This window comes from Homo sapiens, chromosome 5, assembly GCF_000001405.40.
Source record: "Homo sapiens chromosome 5, GRCh38.p14 Primary Assembly".
In the NCBI taxonomy this organism is placed as follows: Eukaryota; Metazoa; Chordata; class Mammalia; order Primates; family Hominidae; genus Homo; species Homo sapiens.
Window position 1 is genome coordinate 108,950,900 of NC_000005.10, and position 20,660 is coordinate 108,971,559.

The 20,660-nt window shown below is 33.3% G+C and overlaps 1 protein-coding gene across 22 annotated transcripts in view; it reads left to right on the forward strand.

The window, feature by feature from the left end:
• The window catches only part of FER (FER tyrosine kinase), a 448,945-nt gene that overhangs the window by 203,003 nt on the left and 225,282 nt on the right, over window positions 1-20,660 (forward strand). For 16 of the 22 annotated variants that reach the window (NR_146155.2, XR_007058589.1, XR_007058590.1 and 13 more), the window contains 2 exons: window positions 3,830-4,033; window positions 8,326-8,448. Coding sequence is in view for 18 of the 22 variants with exons in the window: in NM_005246.4 (NP_005237.2) it covers window positions 3,830-4,033; window positions 8,326-8,448 (327 nt within the window). In the remaining 4 variants the exon portion in view is untranslated. The remainder of the gene's footprint in view (window positions 1-3,829; window positions 4,034-8,325; window positions 8,449-20,660) is intronic. The other 6 variants (XM_047416940.1, XM_047416945.1, XM_047416938.1 and 3 more) reach the window with 2 other exon arrangements.

A 20,660-nucleotide genomic window follows, 5' to 3' on the forward strand; every position in this document is an offset into this window, starting at 1 on the left:
ATTTCTCATCCCCTCCCAAAATTCCTAAGTAATACATAGCTTTAAAATAAAAGGGGTCCTATGGAATTAAAAAAAAAATAAATTTATAGGGCCAGGCATGGTGGCTCACACCTGTAATCTCAGCACTTTGGGAGGCTCGGGCAGGCGGATCATGAGGTCAGGACTTTGAGACCACACTGGCCAACATGGTGAAACCCTGTCTCCACTAAAAGTACAAAAAATTAACCAGGTGGGGTGGTGCGCAATCCCAGCTACTCGGGAGGCTGAGGCAGGAGAATCACTTGGACCCAGGAGGCAGAGGTTGCAGTGAGCGGAGATGACGCCATTGGACTCCAGCCTGGGTGACAGAGCAAGACTCCATCTCAAAAAAATAAAAATAAAAATAAATTTCTAGAGATAGGGCCTCACTATGTTGTCCAGGCTGGTCTTGAACTCCTGACTTAAGCAGTCCTCCCACCTTGGCCTCCCAAAGTGCTGTTACAGGATACAGCCACTGTGCCCGGCCAAATCTTAATCTAGTGCCTTAGACCACTTAGCCATGCTACCAGTTGAGTCTTAACGGAATTTTTGAGAAATGTTTAAAATCTTATGAATTACTCTTTGTCACCCTAGTGTATTACTAAACTAGATTTGGAATAACTTATTAATTAGACTATTAAATTAATGTTAATAACTAAATTTACATGAGAATAGAAAAGATAATTAAATGTCATTTTCATGTTAAAAATTCAGAATTTAAAAAAGTTTGTGTTGAAGTTTTATTTAGGTTGTTCAAGCTCAGTAAGGGTTTTACTTGTATATTTTTGATGCTGTTTTATTCTTGTTTTGCTTTTTTCAAAATGGTTTATTGTGTAATTAATTTTAATAGAATCTAGACCAGATATTTTTAAAAAACATTTTTGTTTTTGCCTCCCAAAAAGAAGCTCATCTTGCTACTCAAATGCTTGAGTAAAGGTATACAAATCTTCATTACATACTTGAGAATTAGCCTGGACCAGGGTAAGGAGAAAAAAATAATCTCTTTTTCTTTCCCCAAGAAAAAAATATTTTCAAGTGCTGCCTCCTTATTGCCTTTTCATATAAAATAATCTCTTTAATTTCACTAATTCCAGCATATTTTTGCTGGACTATTCTTTAGGAACAAGATCTAGGGAAAATAACTAATAAGACAGCTAACCCAATCAATCAGGAAAACTTATTAAATATAACTTATTAACTGTACTGTATTAACTGAAACTTTTAAAAAGGAGGCTTTGCTCCTACCCCCATATCTTTGGCAAAAATCTCAGATAACTTACCAACAAAGAAAAACCCTGTCTATTGAGGCTGAGAAAGATGGGATATTTGAGGTAGAAAGCTTCCTTTCATTTGTGATGTCATTATGGTGGGCTCTTGGGATGTTACATTTTTTTTGCTGATGCATCCTACATATATTACTGTCAAGTTTGTAAAATTGTTTGGGATTTCATTGAAATCATATTGATAAAAATATTCCTTCCAGTGCTTCTAGAGAAGTCTTTGAAAGACCTGATATACCCAGGCAGGGGATATGTGTGACTTTTCCCTGTGTATGTGTGTATATACATGTGTATATACACACATACACTGACAGTAAGTTCAGCTTATATTTCATAACAGTGTTGTATAGGGGATGGGGAATAACAGATCTTTGAGCTTCCCTTCCTACCTACAAAGGAACTAAGAAGCCTATAGAATTGAAGTGTGATCTTTATGAGATAGCAATATAAGTTCCTTACTATTTAGTTTTTTAAAAACAAAACTCAGATACTTTCCCCAGATGACTTTTTCCCCCATACATATTCTTCGTCATATGTTTAAATAAATTTCTTGGAATGCTGGCTGAGCTTTTGTACTTTTTTCCACCTTAATTAGTTCATCGAACTCTGTTCATCATTCTCTCAGTTGGAAATAAATGCAAATTTGGAAGGATAGATTGGCTAGGACAAGAAATCAACAGGTAGCATCCTTGTTTGGGATGCTTTCCTGTTACGTTGACCTTTTAGAGAGACAATGATAAAAAGTCCTTTGTAAAGATGTTACATTGAATTTCTTGTATTCAGTAATAACTGTTGAATAAATAAGCAGTTTTGCTATTGGTGAGACAGAAATATTTCTATTATAGTAAAAATTTTAGAATTTACTCTAATTAGATGCACTATCATAAAATTTTAAAATAAAATTTTTGATTATAAAAATAGAAAACATTTGATTATTTTTACTTCTTTAATAATTGTAAATTATTAGTATCAGTATATACAAAAAGTTAATTTTGTGTAGATTATGCGTTTGTTTTTAAAAGCAATATTCTTTTACCTCATAGTCGTGGGTGGGTCTTTAGATAAAATTGCTCTTTAAAACAATTTTTGGGAATACATTAAACCATTTTTTGAAATAAAATATATATGTTAAATATGATACAATATTATTTGTCATAGTTTGCATGAAAATTAAAAGACTTAGTTTACCAAAACTTCCATATATAGTCACAAACGGAATATATTTTAAAAGTTTAAAATGTTATTTAATACAAGTGGAAGAAGTAAGAATCAGAATGTAGACTTTCCTTGAGGTCTGTTTGGGACTTTTCAAGTTTTTTATTGTTGTTTTGTTTTGTTCTTTTAACCAACAGAATGAGTTTGGATAACATGAAATAGAACTTTGAGCAGTAAGTTTTGGGTCTCCTCAGTGGTACGAAACAATAAAGGCTATGTTAAAAACCAGTTTTTACTTACTACAAAATTACCATACTTTGGCCCTACCTAGAATTTATATCAGCCTATAAAACTTCATATATGAATATTTGCCTTTCGTTTATTATTAATTCTGATTTTTCCAATTTATAAATTACTTTCTCATGAGGCATTGTGCATATTGTATTTTGAGAACCTTAAAAGTTAGTTCAGATTACTGTACCTTAACCGCAAAGTACTCTCTCTATCTGGAGCAGTTTAGTTCCTGTGTGCCATAAAAACAACAACAACAACATCAACAAGATTCTTACTTGTAATCAGAAAATGTGTGATTTAATCTACTATCAGCACATTTCAAGGAAATACAATCATCTCTTAAATTATCTCTGACTTGGTGTTAGCATTTGGCCTCTTAAAATAACAGAGAATTTGCTTTCTCTACCATGCTCATGGTTTATAACCACTCCTTATCTTTGCCATGTGTTTGTAATTGCATGTTGGTGGTTTTCAGTGATGCTATTTCTCCTAGGGCTTTATCTACCATTGCTTTGTAGAAGCAGGGCCAGCCATGTGGCAGAGGTAATGGTTAAGGAAGTCAGGTGAGTGAAGATAAAGACAGAAAGGCACAGCAGCAAGGCAGCATCAAATAAAACCTGAGATAGTACTCCTGGAATGTATGACACTGCTCAGAACCTCTGTGATCAAGAGTTAATTACATAAAAAAGAAATAACTCAACTTTTCATTTACATAAAAATTAAGTTATTTTGTGATACATTTCTGTTAATTCCCTCCTTTTCTTCATAATTTCTCTGGTTGATAATTTTAGTATATAGATTTATTTTAGGACATGGTGAATAAGATTATCAGTGCTAACTCTAAATGCTAATATTGTGTCTACCTTTGTATGATAGATAAAACAAAGTGTTGAAGCATATGTATTTGTGGTAAACTTCAGCACCAGTACTTCAAAAGATATTTTAGGTTTATTGTATAACTTTTAATTGGTCAATTAAAGGGAGGAACATTTGTAAGAAGCCTTTATAGTTGCTATGAATTTTATTAGAAAATAATCAGTATTTTCTCTAATTTAGTTTTTTTTTTTTAATATTTGTTTAAGCTTTCTGATATGATCTCCATCAGTGAGAAGCCTTTGGCAGAACAGGACTGGTACCATGGTGCAATTCCCAGAATAGAAGCTCAAGAACTGTTAAAAAAACAAGGAGACTTTTTGGTGCGAGAGAGTCATGGGAAACCTGGTGAATATGTCCTTTCTGTATATTCTGATGGACAGAGGAGACATTTTATCATACAATATGTTGATGTACGTTTCCAGTTTAGTTCATATGTATATTTTGATGTAGTTCATTGCGGTACAATTATATTAAAATAACGAATGGTTTGTGATAAATGCCTGCAACACTTGAAATTTAGCACTTAATTTTTTTCTGAATTTCTTAAATACAGTGCTTCAAAATGTACTAACATTTAAATATGTTTAAGGAAACATGTATTTAGTAATATTTTAAATTAAAAATAATGTTTATAAAATCAAAGTATATAGCTATTTAAAATATGTTGTTAAATTTGAACATTAAAGATATTTTGAATTAAAACTAAAAACAATGTGATTATTATAAATTTTTTTCTAGAGAAACTTAAGTTTATGAAACTTATACTTTTGAAATTGGAGCTTGGAATTGTTTTCAGAATGGTGCCATGAAAGATTTTTAAGAAATATTTTATTCAATAGTAATAATAAAATTTCTTAATGAATGGGATGATGGTTGAATTGGTTTTTATAGATAAGCTCTTGTTTATTGGCATTAATAATGAATAGAAATTAATGAAGAATTAAAAATCTATTTACATTGATTATTCTAATGCTAATTTATTTTTTGAAATTTATTTAAGTATTGCTAAACTACTTTCTATGTTTGTTACATTTCTTTATTGAGCCTTAAACAGATGAAGAGTAATTTCAAAATTTAGCTTTACCCACTAAGGAATTTTAATGTTTTTGGCATATGAAAGAATTGATGCCTCTGTTTGTTTTCCATTCCCATCATTTCAAATGGCCTGCATTTTCAAGATTGCTATCCACAGGATTTCATTTTATGTTGAGAGACTAGGGTGATACTAATTGCCTTACAGAAATTGAACCATGATCATTAGATGAACTTGAGGGCTTAGATAACTTAGTAACAGGTGTATGTACACAGACATGCACATGTGCACATACATCTCTTAATAAGTTTATATATATATAAAACGTATCTTTGAGCTGACATTCACATACCATACAATTAATCATTTTAAAATGTAGGATTCAGTGGCATTTAGTACATTTACATCTCGTAGTTATAGCTAAATGAAAGTAGATACCATTCAAATAGGTTAAAAGGAATATATCCATTAAAGTATTTCCACTATCATAATGTTCACACTATTCGTTAATTTTTCGTAGTATTCAGACCTCAACTTGATAATCATATTTGCCCACATTCATACATCTAACCTACTGTTTTGGAAACTATGTTGTTTCTAATAATGTGTCATTTTTTATTTCCTTGGCAAACTCTTTTGTAATTTGTATATGCCTTTAAGTTATGAATTTAGATAACCTACCCTATTACAATTTGCGACCATATTGCCAATATTTATTACGTGGTATGAGAATTGTAGAAGGAAAGATTGTAGGTAAAGTATAAACTCGTTAACCACAACTTGTATGAATGTTTCATTTTATTTTCTAAGCTCTAAAAGTAACTATTTTTGAAATATGTATTATGTAAACCTGAAATATTTGTCTTATTATCACTTCTAGTTTAAATTGTAACTATAAGTATTTAAATTAGCGTTCTTAGAAACAAAAAGGAAAGGGTCAGTGTGCAAATTTTTGCTTGTTTTTAATATTGCCATTTTAAGTGGCTAAAATGAGCAATATAATATATGCTAAAAATAAGAGGTTACGAGTTCACATTTGATAGTTTTATCTGGTTTCCTTCTGTCACTGAAATTTTTCAAATATCTCTGTTAAAGATGAGAACATTTATTTTTCACTAAATGCCTCAGGTTTTCTGCTGCCTAATTTTATTCTAGTGAGTTTTTGCTGTATAGTGTTGAGCTCCTGAAGCAGTTGTAAACAGTTTAAGATGATATAGACAGTTTTAATTCTTTTTCATTTTGTGCAGGTGAATCTTCCATGAGCTAAAATTATCCTATTAATTGCCTCATATACCTGTTGACTAGAAGGGGTCAATAAATGGGGAAATTCATTAACAGATATTTAATGAGTGCCTACTGTATTCTAATGAAGGAGTTTATATTATACGAGCTGTAAGTAAATGAGTCAACAAGTGTTCCAATAGAAGAGGTTATAAAGTAATACAAGATTTTAGAGGAGTTAAAAATATTAAATAGTTGATCAATAAAAAGAGCACTGAATTTGGAGTTAGAACACTTGGCTTTCAGTCCTAGCTCTGTCTTTACTTGTTCTGTGGTTTAGGAAATAAAGGGGGTTAATATCTTAAAGAGTTTTTGCGAGAATCAAATCAGTGAATACATACTTTGCAGGACGTGAAATTAAATAAACCAATAAGGCAGCATAGAAATGAATACTGGAAAGCTCATGTACTCATGCATTCATGCATTCAAGACATTGAATACAACATTTAATACAAAGTATAAATAGACATTTCTCCAAAAAGTTGTACAAATGGCCAGTAGGTATTATGAAAAAATGCTCAGTATCACTGATCATCAGAGAAGTACAAATCAAAACCACAATAAAACATCATTTTATCCCAGTAGAATGGCTATTATTAAAAACACAAAAAAATAATAAATGCAGGCAAGGATGTGGAGAAAAGGGAACTCTTACACACTGTTGATGGGAATGTAAATTAGTAAATTCATTATGGAAATCAGTATGGAGATTTCTCAAAAAGCTATGATAGAACTGCCATATGATCTAGCAATCCCACTACTGGGTATTTATCCAAAGGAAAATAAATCAGTATACCAAAGGGATACCTGTACTCCCATGCTTATTGCAGTACTATTCACAGTAGCAAAGATAAGGAATCAATCTGTGTCCATTAACATTTATTATTTGTCTGGTGATTTGACAATTGAATGTGTGCCAGTACATGTACCATATACTGGGTAAAGTGGTTTGCATGTTAATAGTTATTCAACTCTTTTACTCTGTGAGGAGGTACAAATATTATCTCTGTTTCACTAAGGAATAAGCTGAGACACTGAGAGATCTTTCTCAGTGTTTTGCACACCTAGAAACATATATTATTAGAAATAGGTTAGTACCTTCAGTGTGAAATATTCTTAAGGATCAGTGCTAATATATCATAGGAGGTCTGCCTACTATGTACAAAAGTTCTTTAGGCAGTGAATTAACAACTGCTTTGAACTGATTCAAACACTAACTGCCCTTGAGTTGATTTATTCTCCATAGTTAAGTGTTAAAGTAAACTAATGCGTGTTTGTTCATTACTCAATGAAACAAATATTCATTTAAAAAGTTTTATATAAATTAAATTTTGATACATTCAATCTTTTTTATTTTATAGTATGGAAAAAGAGCTTTGAGTTTTTAAACTTTCAGCTGGGAAAGTAATCTTCCAGTAATGCAAGTAATGTCAGAATTTAGTCAGTTTCGAAAGTTCTTATTTCTTCACAGCATTTTCTTAAAATGGGGGTACTCCCATATCTGTATTTGTATATATCTTCCTGGGTATGAGAACTAGCAGTTGGAAGCTTTTGTTACATTGCATTGCAATGCTTCTTGCTTTGAAAAATATGGCCAATAGGGTATTTTTGATTTGCCAGGTTTATTGCTATCAATTTATCCATATGACAACCTACTCATAGGCCAATTTGAAATATGAAAACAAGAGAAAAGCGGTCTTGGAGGAGTTTGAGGAAAATTGCACCTTACCTGGTGATATGCAATTAAAAAATGCTAAGATTTGAGCGTGTTGATATCTACAGTTTTGTCACTGTTGCATTTTATTTCTTTATCCAAGATGTGTGAATGAGTGTTTTTGGTAATTAATAATAAATGAATACTCCACTACAGAAAGCAAACTAATACTGTATCAGCAGATAGAAAATAAATGATCAGATGTATTAAAATATTTACCATCAGATTGGATATCTTTCCTTATATTTTTGACATTTTTGATATTGAAAGTTTTATCAAATGGAACACATATGTAGACATATGTAAACATGTATCTTGTCCAGTAACTCAGGTGTATCCCATGCTTTGTTTCCTTTGGTTAGCATTTTAGCAAAATGCATTTCAGGTCTGTTTGTTAGATTTTTTATTTTTCAACAATTTGAATTAGATTTAAACATTGTGAAAATTGATTTATCTGTCACAAGGTAGAATTTTAAAACATGTCAGAGTTTTATTTATCTATTTATATTTTTATCATCTTAACCATTTTTAAGGGTATAGTTCAGTAGTGTTAAGTATATTCACATTGTTGTGCAATTATAGTTTTTTTAAGAAAGGAATCTAATTTATCAATGAATGTAGATTTTCTAAAGCAATGTCTTCACATTTATTCTACCTTATTGTTCTCTCTCCAGAACATGTATCGATTCGAGGGCACTGGGTTTTCAAACATTCCTCAACTTATAGATCATCACTATACAACAAAACAGGTCATCACTAAGAAATCAGGTGTAGTTCTGCTGAATCCTATTCCTAAGGTAGGTGCTTATATACTTTTTTGTCTGTTTGTTTTAAAAGAATTTTTGGTGAGTTAACATTTCCAACAGTAAATAAAATTCTTAGGTTATATGCTAGTAGTTCAGAAAAAAAGTTTTGTTTTTGTTTTTCTAGCTTTTATTACTAATGCAATTGAAACATGAAACTTCCTTGATTTTATTAAGATGAGCTGCTTTCTTATTCAGTATTTGCTAGTATACAGATGGCTTGGTTTTTTTTCCCCTTTCCTAGTTTTTCTTCAGACTTGAGGCTTTTCTTCACTTTATAAGGTTCATACTTTGAAAGGTTCAGGTTATAACAGATTCTAAGTTGTATAAGTCAAAGAAAATGTCTAGCAGTTAGGAATAAATTAGGGTTTTAATTTGGGATGTTACATTTACAATGTATTATAAGATATTGGAACTATTAAAAATTAGTCTACTCTTCACAGAAGCAGTAAATCAGAAACTTATCTATGTGGAGCAAGGTGGTTGGATAAGAGATTGTCTTAGGTCATTTTTACCTCTATGATCTATCACAGAAAACACTACTTACATGTGCTTTACAAGATTTGTTCAATAAAGTATGGGTATGTGGAAGTTTTGTGTTTTAAAGGTAAAATCTTTGGGACTTAAACTGAAGTGGAATAATGGAACTGGCTTAGTTTCTGATCACTTTTGATGTTTCAGGAGTTGGGTTGGTATTGGCAAGAGCTCTTTCCTTTCAGGACTGTCTAATATGAAGAACAGCGTAGAAATAGGAAAGCCACACAACTTGGTAGATTAATATTTGTTGATATGACTTTTATACATTTAGGGATTGCTTTTAATTTGAAGTAAGTGCCAGTTCCAAGAATGCTGGTACCTAGTCTGGATTTAGTGATTTGGAAATTTAAAAAACAAGTATTTTATTTCCTTTTGTTAATCTGGGATATAATATCTATATTTGTACTTTTATTGTACTACTGAGTCTTCACTGAGAGGGTGACCTTTAATATTTCTCTCACAGAAGATTTTAACAGTTGTTTGTTAAACATTCTAATTCTCTGGTTAAGGAACTGGCTTTCTTGAACAGTTTTCTATAATTATGAAATTGGCTCATTCTTTGTTAAATTTTTTTATTCATTTTCTACCCTTAATTACCAAAACCATAAAAAATTCTTCTTCAGCCTGAAATAGGTTGTCACATTTTTTCTATAGCAAAATATATATATATATAAATCTTTCAATATTTCCTCCTTCATCTGTAAATGAATGCTGTTATAGAATTCTAAGATATTTTCTCTTTAGTCAAAGCAATCTATTCTCATGGCTTTATTTACTATTTATATATCAACAATTTGCAAATTTATATTTATAACTCAGATTTCTATTTTCCAAAACTGAAATTGTTCAAATTTCCACCTCAAACTGTGCTTATCACCTTTAACTTCAAAATTTGTTGTTTCTTTTTAAACAAGTGATGCCACCAAATACCCAGCTTCTCAAGTCATAAATTGAGGGGTCTTCTTTGACATCTCTTTCTTTTACATCACTGCCCTCCCTCTAACACTCTAGGTTACAATTAAGTATATATCTCTTAAAAATACAAAAGTTAGCTGGGGGTAGTGGCACATGCCTGTAGTCCCAGCTACTTGGGGGGCTGAGATGGGAGGATTGCTTGAGCCCGGGAGGTTGAGACTGTAGTGAGCTGTGATTGTACCACTGCACTCCAGCCTAGGCAGCAGAGTGAGACCCTGTCTCTAAATAAAGTGTTTTGTATGCTTAATTATTCATGTGGAAGTATGAACATCAATTCCAGTATATATCAGTATGAATAAAATTCAGTGCAGGAAGATATTTTTTATCCAGATTAGGTTAACAAAATATACAAATAGGATTTCAGAGATACTGATGTCCCATTTCACAAGTCAACCAAATGTTTGCATTGTCTACAGGCTTAGCCAGGTCTAAATTGGGAGACCAAATCTATAAAAGAAAGAAATAACAACGCAGGTATGAGTTTGACTAGGAATACAAAATTTCAAATAAAGCTATACCCCTTATAATATAAAATTTGCTATAAAACTTTGATAATAGATTAGATTCTCTGGACTATTACATGGTTAATTATTGTTTTTCCAACCCCCAACACTTTGGAATTGATTATCTCACCATCTGATAGAACTAGCTATGAAAATAAATATATACTGGATGCTGTAGAAATTAAATCGTTATATGTGATTTTTTATATGAGGTAGAAATTTAAAGTTTATCTGGGTATTAACCTAATCTAAAGTACTGGTATTTGAAATATGCAAATCATTATCTCAGTTTGTTGCAAATATTATACACTGATTTAAAGGTTCATGTTGCTCTTTTAAAAGAAAATCACAAAGCAGAAGCTTTGAGTTAGATAATTTTCAACTATGAGTACATAACAAATTGATATGGATTTGTTATGGTGGTAGTATCTGTTACTTATCTTCCTTTGAATTATTTGTACTCTTATAACTGAATCTATTTCTTGATTTAATTTGTGTGAAAAGTAAATGTCTTTGATTATATAATGTGCTGTAAAATATTTAATTTCTGTCTTGCTAGACTTCATTTTTAGCCTAAAGAATTCCACTTTAGTTCATTGTAATTTCTATTTCCCATTTATTTCTCTTCCCATTTATCTCTGCTCCTACCCATAAAAATATGTTTATCATCATAATGCCTAACTTGAGGACAGAATGGCCAAAGTAATCTCTTCCTTACCTTCACATTTTTATGCACATTCACTCAGAGGTACCGAAAACTAGACAGGATTAAATTGTTTAACTTTCTCACTTTATGAAAACTAGTGGGTGCCTGAGCCACCCATCCCTCTCCCTGATTTTTCCTGCACTGCCTTCAGAGCTTGTGTAAACATATGGAAGATGGAAGAAATTTTTGTAAAGAGGGGTTATTAATCACCCGTTATCATCATTCTTACATTAGCAAACAAGTTGGACATGTATATGACCTGTTCTTTACTTAATTCAGTTTCTACTCAAATGTCACTTCATCAGGGAGGCCTTGTCTGACTACCATGTATAAAATAACACATCAAGCCCTTTTGCTCCCCCTTCTTCTGCCTTTATTTCTCTTTGTCATGCTAACATTTAAGTGACATTATATTATATGATGTATTTTTAATCATTTGTCTCTCCCAAGTAAAATAACTTCAATAGGGTCACAGTTGTATTTAACAATTAGTGTAGTGTATTTCCAGTGTCTCGAAGAGTGCTGACCCAGGGTAACATTCAATAAATATTTGTTAGAGGATTGAATTCACTGAGCAATGGCTAGGAGCCCAGGTAATTGCTGACCTTTTTATACACATTATCTCATTTAACCTCACATATTCCTATAAAATATTAATAAGAATTGTTGTTAATCTCATATAATATTATTGTTGCTGTTATTGCTATAAAATATTATGAATGAAGAGCTAAAGATTAAAATGGTAAATGAATTCCCCAAGAAAACAGAACTGGTTAAGAGGCAGATCTGGAGTTTGAGCCCACATTCTTAACCACTATATATTTTTCCAGATTGTAGAGTCTAAGTTTTAGAGGCTAAAATAAACTGTTTAATTAATATGAATGTGAGTTTAAGGAAGAGGAAATCTCTTTCATTCTATAAAATATTAACTTGAACAAGATTTTAATATATCAAAAACTATTTGTTTCTATAAAAGAAAAATTACTGAACAGCAATATTGGGTAGGGAAAGCTAGGATTTGAGCTAAAATATAGGGATTGGTCAAATATATTTAAGAAAGACATCTAGTTTAACATTTAAATGACACTTTTGGAAGATATTTGCTTTGTTAAGTTTAATATTTCTTCATATTTAGATGTTTTTAAGTAAGAAATCGCTTTCTGAATCGAAGGTAAAGCAAAAACATTTATGATTAAATGTAGATTAGGCCAAGTGCAGTGGCTCGTGCCTGTAATCCCAGGACTTTGGGAGGCTGAGGTGGGCGGATTGCTTGAGGTAAGGAGTTCAAGACCAGCCTGACTAACAAGTGAAACCCCGTCTCTACTAAAAATACAAAAATTAGCCAGGTGTGGTGGCACACACCTATAATCCCAGCTACTTGGGGGGCTGAGGCAGGAGAATCACTTGAATCTGGGAGGCAGAGGTTGCAGTGAGCTGAGATTGTGCCACTGCACTCCAGCCTGGGCAACAGAGTGAAACTCCATCTCAAAAAACAAAACAAAACAAAAAACAAAATGTACGTTAGATAGGCAGAGGGCAATTAATTTGAACCTTAGACAACCAGCTTAAATTAAGTAATTGTAATTGTAGCTTTTTACCAGAATGTCATATAGATTGTCAGAATATTAGAGTTAGATTTGTGAGAGGAGAGTAAGTCTGTGTCTGAAACTACTGACTTGTCCTGGGGAGACAGGTTCATGGCAGCAACATTCATGATTATCAGACACTGCAAAGGACAGTTTTTAAGAGAAGAAACTGCACTTTAAGCGCTGTTTACATTGTTAGTTTTAGATGATGTAAAGACCATTTTATCTTACATCTGATATAGCTTGCCTTTTCCAATATTACTGTTTAGTAATTTTCATTTTATAGAGGCTTATAATATAGTTTTTGATATGTTGATGTCTTACCAATTCATCATTTTATGAAATCAGTCTTCCTTTTCCTTAAGTCTATATCCATGTTCTTCAATTCATTAAGAGCTATTGTGTAATTTTTAAAATAATTTAATTTTTTAAGAAAGGAATGAAAAATATATGTGATTCAGTATTCATTTAGTAAATATTTACTTAGTACTCACTCTGTGCTATGTTCTTTATTATGTTAGAGCGAATAAATGTTATGAAAATGAAGTAGGGTAAGGAGATAATGAAGTTCTAGACTGTGTTGAGGACAGTGTTTAGGTAGTGTGTGTGTATGTGCATAGAGAGGGCTAATTTTTTAAATATTATCAAAGAAAGCCTCCTAATGAATTTTGGACAGAGACGTAAATGGAAACAGGGAGTTATCTGTGTGGTTGTATAAAGGGGTAATGGTGAAAGTGTTCAGCAGTTAGTACAGCATGTGTACCAACCTATCAGAACAGATGCCAGCAGCAAACAATTCGAAGAGCCGTAGAGGTGTTTACTGACTGTCTATTCTCCTTGTGTACCTGGGGAAGAGTGTTTGCTGGTGTGATTGAAGAACTACAGAGGTTAGTATGGCTGAAGCAGAGTGGTCAAAAGGGAGAGTGATGGGAGATGAGCGCAGATTTGGATTAATTTAATAATTAATACATATCATCTTAAAAGGCCAGTTTTTCTTTGTATAATTTAAGAAATTCACATCATTTGAGTAGAAATTCAGCATAAAATTTTACAAGTTTTCATAGTGGGTCTCTTGAAACAAAAGATTTATGTTTAATACTGGTAGTGAATTTCAAGGGAGTATATTTAGTAGAATAGGCCATCCAAATAAATTACAGTAAATTCCATGTTTTTATTTCTAAGAACTTTTTTCCCAGTAACATTATTTTTGGAGGCATCTAGTTAGCTGTGCTTTTGCAGTTAATCATTTTATGCTGTCACTTGTATGGGCTTTTCAAAAATTGCTGTGTGTCGAACATTTGAAAAGACATAAGAGTGATCTTTATTTTTAGCTCTTTAAAATTAGATAATTAAATATCAAATTGGATTTCCAGGCATGGAAACTCACAGTTTGAAAAAAACGTTCTGAACTGGAATACTCACTGTTAAGGTTTCTATTTAATTGGCTTTTTTAAATCAATTAATTAGGTCTATTGAGAGTGAAGAGCACAAAAAAATTACAAAATGTTCTTTTTAGGAAATTTATCAGGAATATATAAATCTCCATGTCGGTCTTGGATTTGAGCACAGAGAATCCATTTTTAAATCCCAGTTTTCACTATTATCAGCCACATCTTCTTAGGCAAGCCAGCCTTCTAACTTCATCTGTGGCCTACAATAACCTCACTTGTTATAAAAATCATGTGTGAAAATCTCTGTAGTTATATGGTGGAAACTGCAAAATAGCGTATAGTTTTTGTTTGAAAGCATTTTTCGCAGGACAGATAAATAATTAACAGAAGGAAAATTTGGAGCATTTTAAATTGTGAAAGAAGGAAAAAAAACACTTGAGTACTGTTGAGAATACTCTACCTCTATTATTTTATTAAATCTTTTCAACAACTGTGAATTTGATTATTAATATTATCCCCATTATTAGGTAAGGAAACTCAGACATTATAATTTACCCTAAATCAAATTTACTGTAAGTTTCAGAGTTGTTACCTGAAAGGGATTCTGTTCTATTCATCATCTTTTAATTACAACTCCAGCTAGCATAAATCATAATCTCTACTATCTGATTAATGTCAATAGCTTAACAAAAATTTTTTCTATACTCCAATATTTTAGCACCAGGATATAAGTGAACTTAACAGCTATGTCCCCAACCCACATGAAAGTCTAGCAGAGACTATAAGCGTGTTGTGCTAAGGGAAATACAGGGTGATATTTGACTATATAGTCACTACTTAGTATAGTCTGCAAAGTTAAATTAAGATTGGACTTTAGGCTTGATCTACTTAATAATATAAAAGAACCCTACCATGGTACATATATTTAATAACACCCAGACTGATTTTTAAAACTCTCATCCTCTACCAGCAGATATTTTGAGGAAAAGCAATGCTAGTATCAAAAAAGTAATAGACTTTAGAAACCACTGATGTTCCATAAATGATACTTCAAAAGTTTCACATCCATAAGCCTACCTCAGACTTTCTTAAATATCATTATGTTTTTAGTCAGAAGAGCCAGGTTTTCAGTAATTACTTCTATACATTTTTTTTGCCTACTTTATAAATATTTGAAGGGAAATGGGCATAGGCAGGTAAGGTCTATTAAAAGAATAAGTCATTGGAATTTTTTAATGCAAATTGAAAGGCAGGATTTGATATTTATAGCACAAACATTGCCTGATATTCACCATTTCATCATTTTAAAGTATTTATTATACTTCCTTTTTCTTTTCTTTTTTTTTTTTTTTTTGAGATGGAGTTTTGCTCTTTTGCTCAGGCTGGAGTGCAGTGGCATGATCTCAGCTCACTGCAACCTCCACCTCCTGGGTTCAAGCAATTCTCCTGCCTCAGCCTCCTGAGTAGCTGGGATTACAGGCACGTGCCACCACGCCGGGCTAACTTTTGTGTTTTTAGTAGAGACGGGGTTTCATCATGTTGCTCAGGCTGGTCTCGAACTCGTGACCTCATGATCCACCCACCTCAGCCTCCCAAAGTGCTGGGATTACAGGCGTGAGCCACTGCGCCTGGCCAAGTATTTATTATACTTTCTATATGCATGGACTTTGGAAAGCATTTCTACAAATGTACTTTTGTAGAAATGTACAACAAAATGTACAATATTTCTGATATGAACATGGATGTATAATGTATAATTCTCCCCTCCCCCATTTCTTGTTGGAAGCCATAGAACAGTAACAAAGAGTAACATACACAGTAACATTGAACAAACATAGAACAAACAAAGCCATAGAACAAAAACAACAAAAATTGGAAAACTCGTAAACTGCATTTTTCATGAAACAGGGACTTCAGAGTATATCATAAAGTAGCCCAAAGCACCTTATGACACATGATTTTTCTCAGTCACTTTGTAAGCCACGGACCTTCAGCCAGTGATGCCCCCACCTAGGCCTCACACAGCCACTTTACTTGCTGCAACAGGTGGCCTGCTCACTTGGCCTGCCCGGGCCAACCCTGGCTTATGCACCAGCTCAGCCCGCCTGTGTTATAGTTGGTATCACATTCAACTGTTTCCAAGTTCTTGTCCTGCGTCCAAGAAGAATAAGGATACACTGACAATTGAAGGGTGATGAGGGCAGAGAATAATTTTATTGAGCAACAAAACGGCTCTCAGCAGAGAGGGGACATGAGAGTGGTCAGCTATCCTGAGTCAGCTGGTTTCTCTCCCAGTGTGGCTAAGTCTGGGACTTCTATGGGCTCAGAATAGGGGAGTGTGTGCTGATTGGTTTGTGAGTATGCAGAAAAGGTTAAAAGAAAGGCACCACTGAAAGTTGGGCATGACAGTGTGAAAAACCAATTATGACGCCAGGCACGGTGGCTTACACCTGTAATCTCAGCAATTTGGGAGGCCGAGGTGGATGAATCTCCTAAGATCAGGAGGTTGAGACCAGCTTGGCCAATATGGTGAAACCCTCTCTACTAAAAATACAAAAATTAGCTGGGTGTGGTGGTGGGCACCTGTAACCCCAGCTACCTAGGAGGCTAAGGCAGGAGAATCGCTTGAACCCGGGAGGTGGAGGCTGTAGTGAGCCAAGATTGTGCCACTGCACTCTGGCCTGGGCGACAAAGCGAGACTCCGTCTCAAAAAAAAAAAAAAAAAAAAAAAACAATTAGGAAAGGGTAGGTATGAGTAAAACAGGTGAAAGGTGGGGAAAGTGTGCCAAATGGGAAGACAGGCTCTCAATGTAGTCCATAGTTTGACTTGTGGCTTGGCTTTCTGGCTTTAAACTGAAAAAGCCTGGAGGTTTTGGCTTGGAGTTGGGGTTTCACTGGGGACCTGCCCCTATCTGCCTAGGCGTTTGTCTGCCTCTTGCTGCTATCACATAGATTGTGGAGAAATCACATAATAATAAAGTTAAGAGAAGATATAATCAGAGAAACAAGCTGCAATGTATTTTACCACCTCCAACAAAAATTACCTGCTAAAAGTGGCCGGGCACAGTGGCTCAGGCCTGTAATCCCAGCACTTTGGGAGGCAAAGGCAGGTATCACTTGAGGTCAGGAGTTCGAGACAAGCCTGGCCAACATGGCAAAATGCTTTTTCTACTAAAAATACAAAAATTAGCTGGGCCTGGTGGCGCATGCCTGTAATCCCAACTATTTAGGAGGCTGAGGCAGGACAATTGCTTGAACCTGGGAGGCGGAGGTTGCAGTGAGCCAAGATCATGCCACTGCCCTCTAGCCTGGGCCACAGAGAGAGGAGACTCCATCTCAAAAAAAGAAAAAAAATTACCTGCTGAATGTGAAGAATGTACCCTTAAATTCTAAGGCTGTATTCCTTGCTTACAAAAATGGATGTGAGAAAGGGATGAAGGAAATAAAAATTTATGTGATATGTTAATTAATATAGCCAAAACTGCCCTTGGAGGAAAATTCAGAGCCTTAAGTACTTGTATTAATAAAATAAAAAGCATGAAATAAATGAGTTCATCATCTCACCCAAAACGAGGAAAATCAAACCCACAATCAAATCAAAGGAATATGGAAGAATGGAAGTAATAAAACTAAAAGCATAAAGGAATGAATTAGAAAAGGGAAAAATATAATATGTATATAATAGTTGCTTTTAGAAAATAATAAATAATTAAAATACTTGTTAATATAATCAATACAAACTCATACCACAAAAGGGTGAATCTCTTCAATATACAGTGTGCTACTAGAAATGGATAAGGACAACCAAATAAAAATATTGGCAATGGATATGGGGCTACTTTAGAAAATAGAAATACAAATGATTTTAAATATATTAAAGTTGATTTGCCCCATTCTCAGTAAAATAAAGGAAAAATAAAAATATATTTATTCACCTATTAGATTAGCATAAATTTAAAATTTAATAACAGTGTCTTGACAAAGATGTGGATAAAAATGCTCTTTGATACTTTGCTGTTGAAAGTATAAATTCTCAACAACAACATGAAAAACCACTATAGAAGGCATTTTGGCAGAATCTGTCAAAACTGTAAAATGTATATATCTTTGATTCAGCAATAACACTTTTACAACTTATCCTTTAGTTCTATGCATGTATGAAGTTGTGTCATTCCAAGGTTAGTCACTGCAGCATTGTTTGTAATATTAGGAAACTGGAAATCATTGAAATTTTCACCATTAGGGGCTAGTTAAATAAATTATAGTACCCTATCCAGTGGAGTACTGTGAATGAGGAAGTTCTATATGTACTGACTGGGGAGAGCTCCAAGAGACATTGTTAATACAAAGAACTAAGCTGCAAACAGTTTAGGTTATGTTGTTACCTTTTATATAAAAAGGGTAGGAGTATGATTATAAGTCTGATTTTGCTTTTATGTGATAAAGAAACTTAAAAATAATACAATAAACAATAACAGATTACATGTTTGGGGAGGTGGTTGAAATTGAAAGCAGAGGTTTAGGGGAAACTTTTTACTTGTTATATTTTACATTTTAATTTTTTTGAACACTGTGAATGTATTACCTATTCAAAAGGTAAGATTAAGAAATATTGAAAACATGGCACCTGTCCTCAAGCAAATATAAATTTTTAGGATGATGCTTTATTGAGAAATTATTGATAAGAAGACAAAATATTCATGCTATATATTGTTAAAGTAGGAAAAGCAGTTTATAAAATAGCATTATGGTATTTATCTGATTTTTATTAAATAAAGTATAGATATCCAAATACATGGAAAAAGTTGGAAGGCTATATTCCAGGATATTAATTATGATTACCTTAGAGTGGAGTAGTAATGGGTGATTTGGGGCAGTTTAAAAACGTTTTTCATTGAACATGTTACTATGTTTGTAATATGAACATTTTCTAAAATTATATTACATGCTAATGTTTTGTAGAACACTATAGAGCAATGTTTTAAAAACTATTTTTCCCATAATTTATATGAAGAAATCGCATTGTAGTTTAAGACTCAGGACACACAAACTTGAGAGTATTGATATTTATGTGTGTGCGTAACTAAAACAAGTTTTCCAAACACTGTTTTATGCTTCCTAAATGAGCTGCATTATATTTAATTTATTTGATTTATTTATTTATTTTTATTTATTTATTTTTGAGACGGAGTCTCACTCTGTTGCCCAGGCTGGAGTGCAGTGGCGCAATCTTGGCTCACTGCAAGCTCTGCCTCTCAGGTTCACGCCATTCTCCTGCCTCAGCCTCCCAAGTGGCTGGGACTACAGGCGTCTGCCACCATGCCTGGCTAATTTTTTTTTTGTATTTTTTAGTAGAGACGGGGTTTTGCCGTGTTAGCCAGCATGGTCTTGATCTCCTGACCTCATGATCCATCAGCCTCGGCCTCCCAAAGTGCTGGGATTACAGGCGTGAGCCACTGCGCCCAGCCTATACTTTATTTTTAGAAGTGTTTACAGCCAATAAGTTGGTTTCTTGAACCTCAATTTGAAAAGTATTTATATGAAGGATTTTTAAAAATCAACAAAAGCTATTTCTAAAGTCGCAGTATGTGTTACGGGAATTCAGAAGAGAGGAAAAAATTGGCTGGGAATGGTTTAAAAAGGAAAATGAACTTGAAGTAGGTCTTGAGAATAGGCAGAAGGAGGAGGAGGGAAATTATTTGATAAGAGGAGAAGCTAAACATGGGAAATTTCTAGGCCTGTTTTAAGTCAGGCAAGATCAGTTTGACAGAAGCAGGTGATTTGGAAAGGTGAATAATCTGAAAAGTTTAGGTTAAAATCAGATTTTTGAAGGCCCTGAATACCAGAATTGTGATGGAAAATGCCATTCTGGTAAAGGTTTATAAGCAAAGGATGGATGTGATATAAGCACATCTTAAATATGATGGTGATACCACATACTTCATACCTCATATGTGAGATATATACATAACTCACTAAAATATTGAAACTATTCCGATTTTTAATTGTGGGAAGAAGTTAAGGAATTCATTGGCACACTTAACAGAAAAAAATCAATGTTCATTTTACCATGTTTCAAATAGTACTTGTGTAGCTAAAACCAATTCCTAGTATAATAATGTTAAAATAGGAGTAGAAACACAATGGCCAGGCTCAGTGGCTCACACTTGTAATCCCAGCACTTTGGGAGGCTGAGATGGAGGATCACTTGAACCTGTCTCAAAAAAAAAAAAAAAAAAAAAAAACCCAGAAAGAAAGAAAGAAATTCTCAGTACTGGAGAAAAATAAGTAATGGTAGGAATTCAGAAATAGTAAATAAAATACAGGCTTCTAATGGCCTATGTATAATTTCCTTGTTGAGCTTAAAATTTAGCTGTAAGCTTCCTGGAAGCTGTTACAGAAAAGGAGTTAGCTAATTTCATGATTAGAAAGGAAGAAGGATTTTAATTTGTTTAAAGCAAAATTTTACTGCCAGTAAGTTCTAAGGGAAATTTCTCTCTTGGGATTT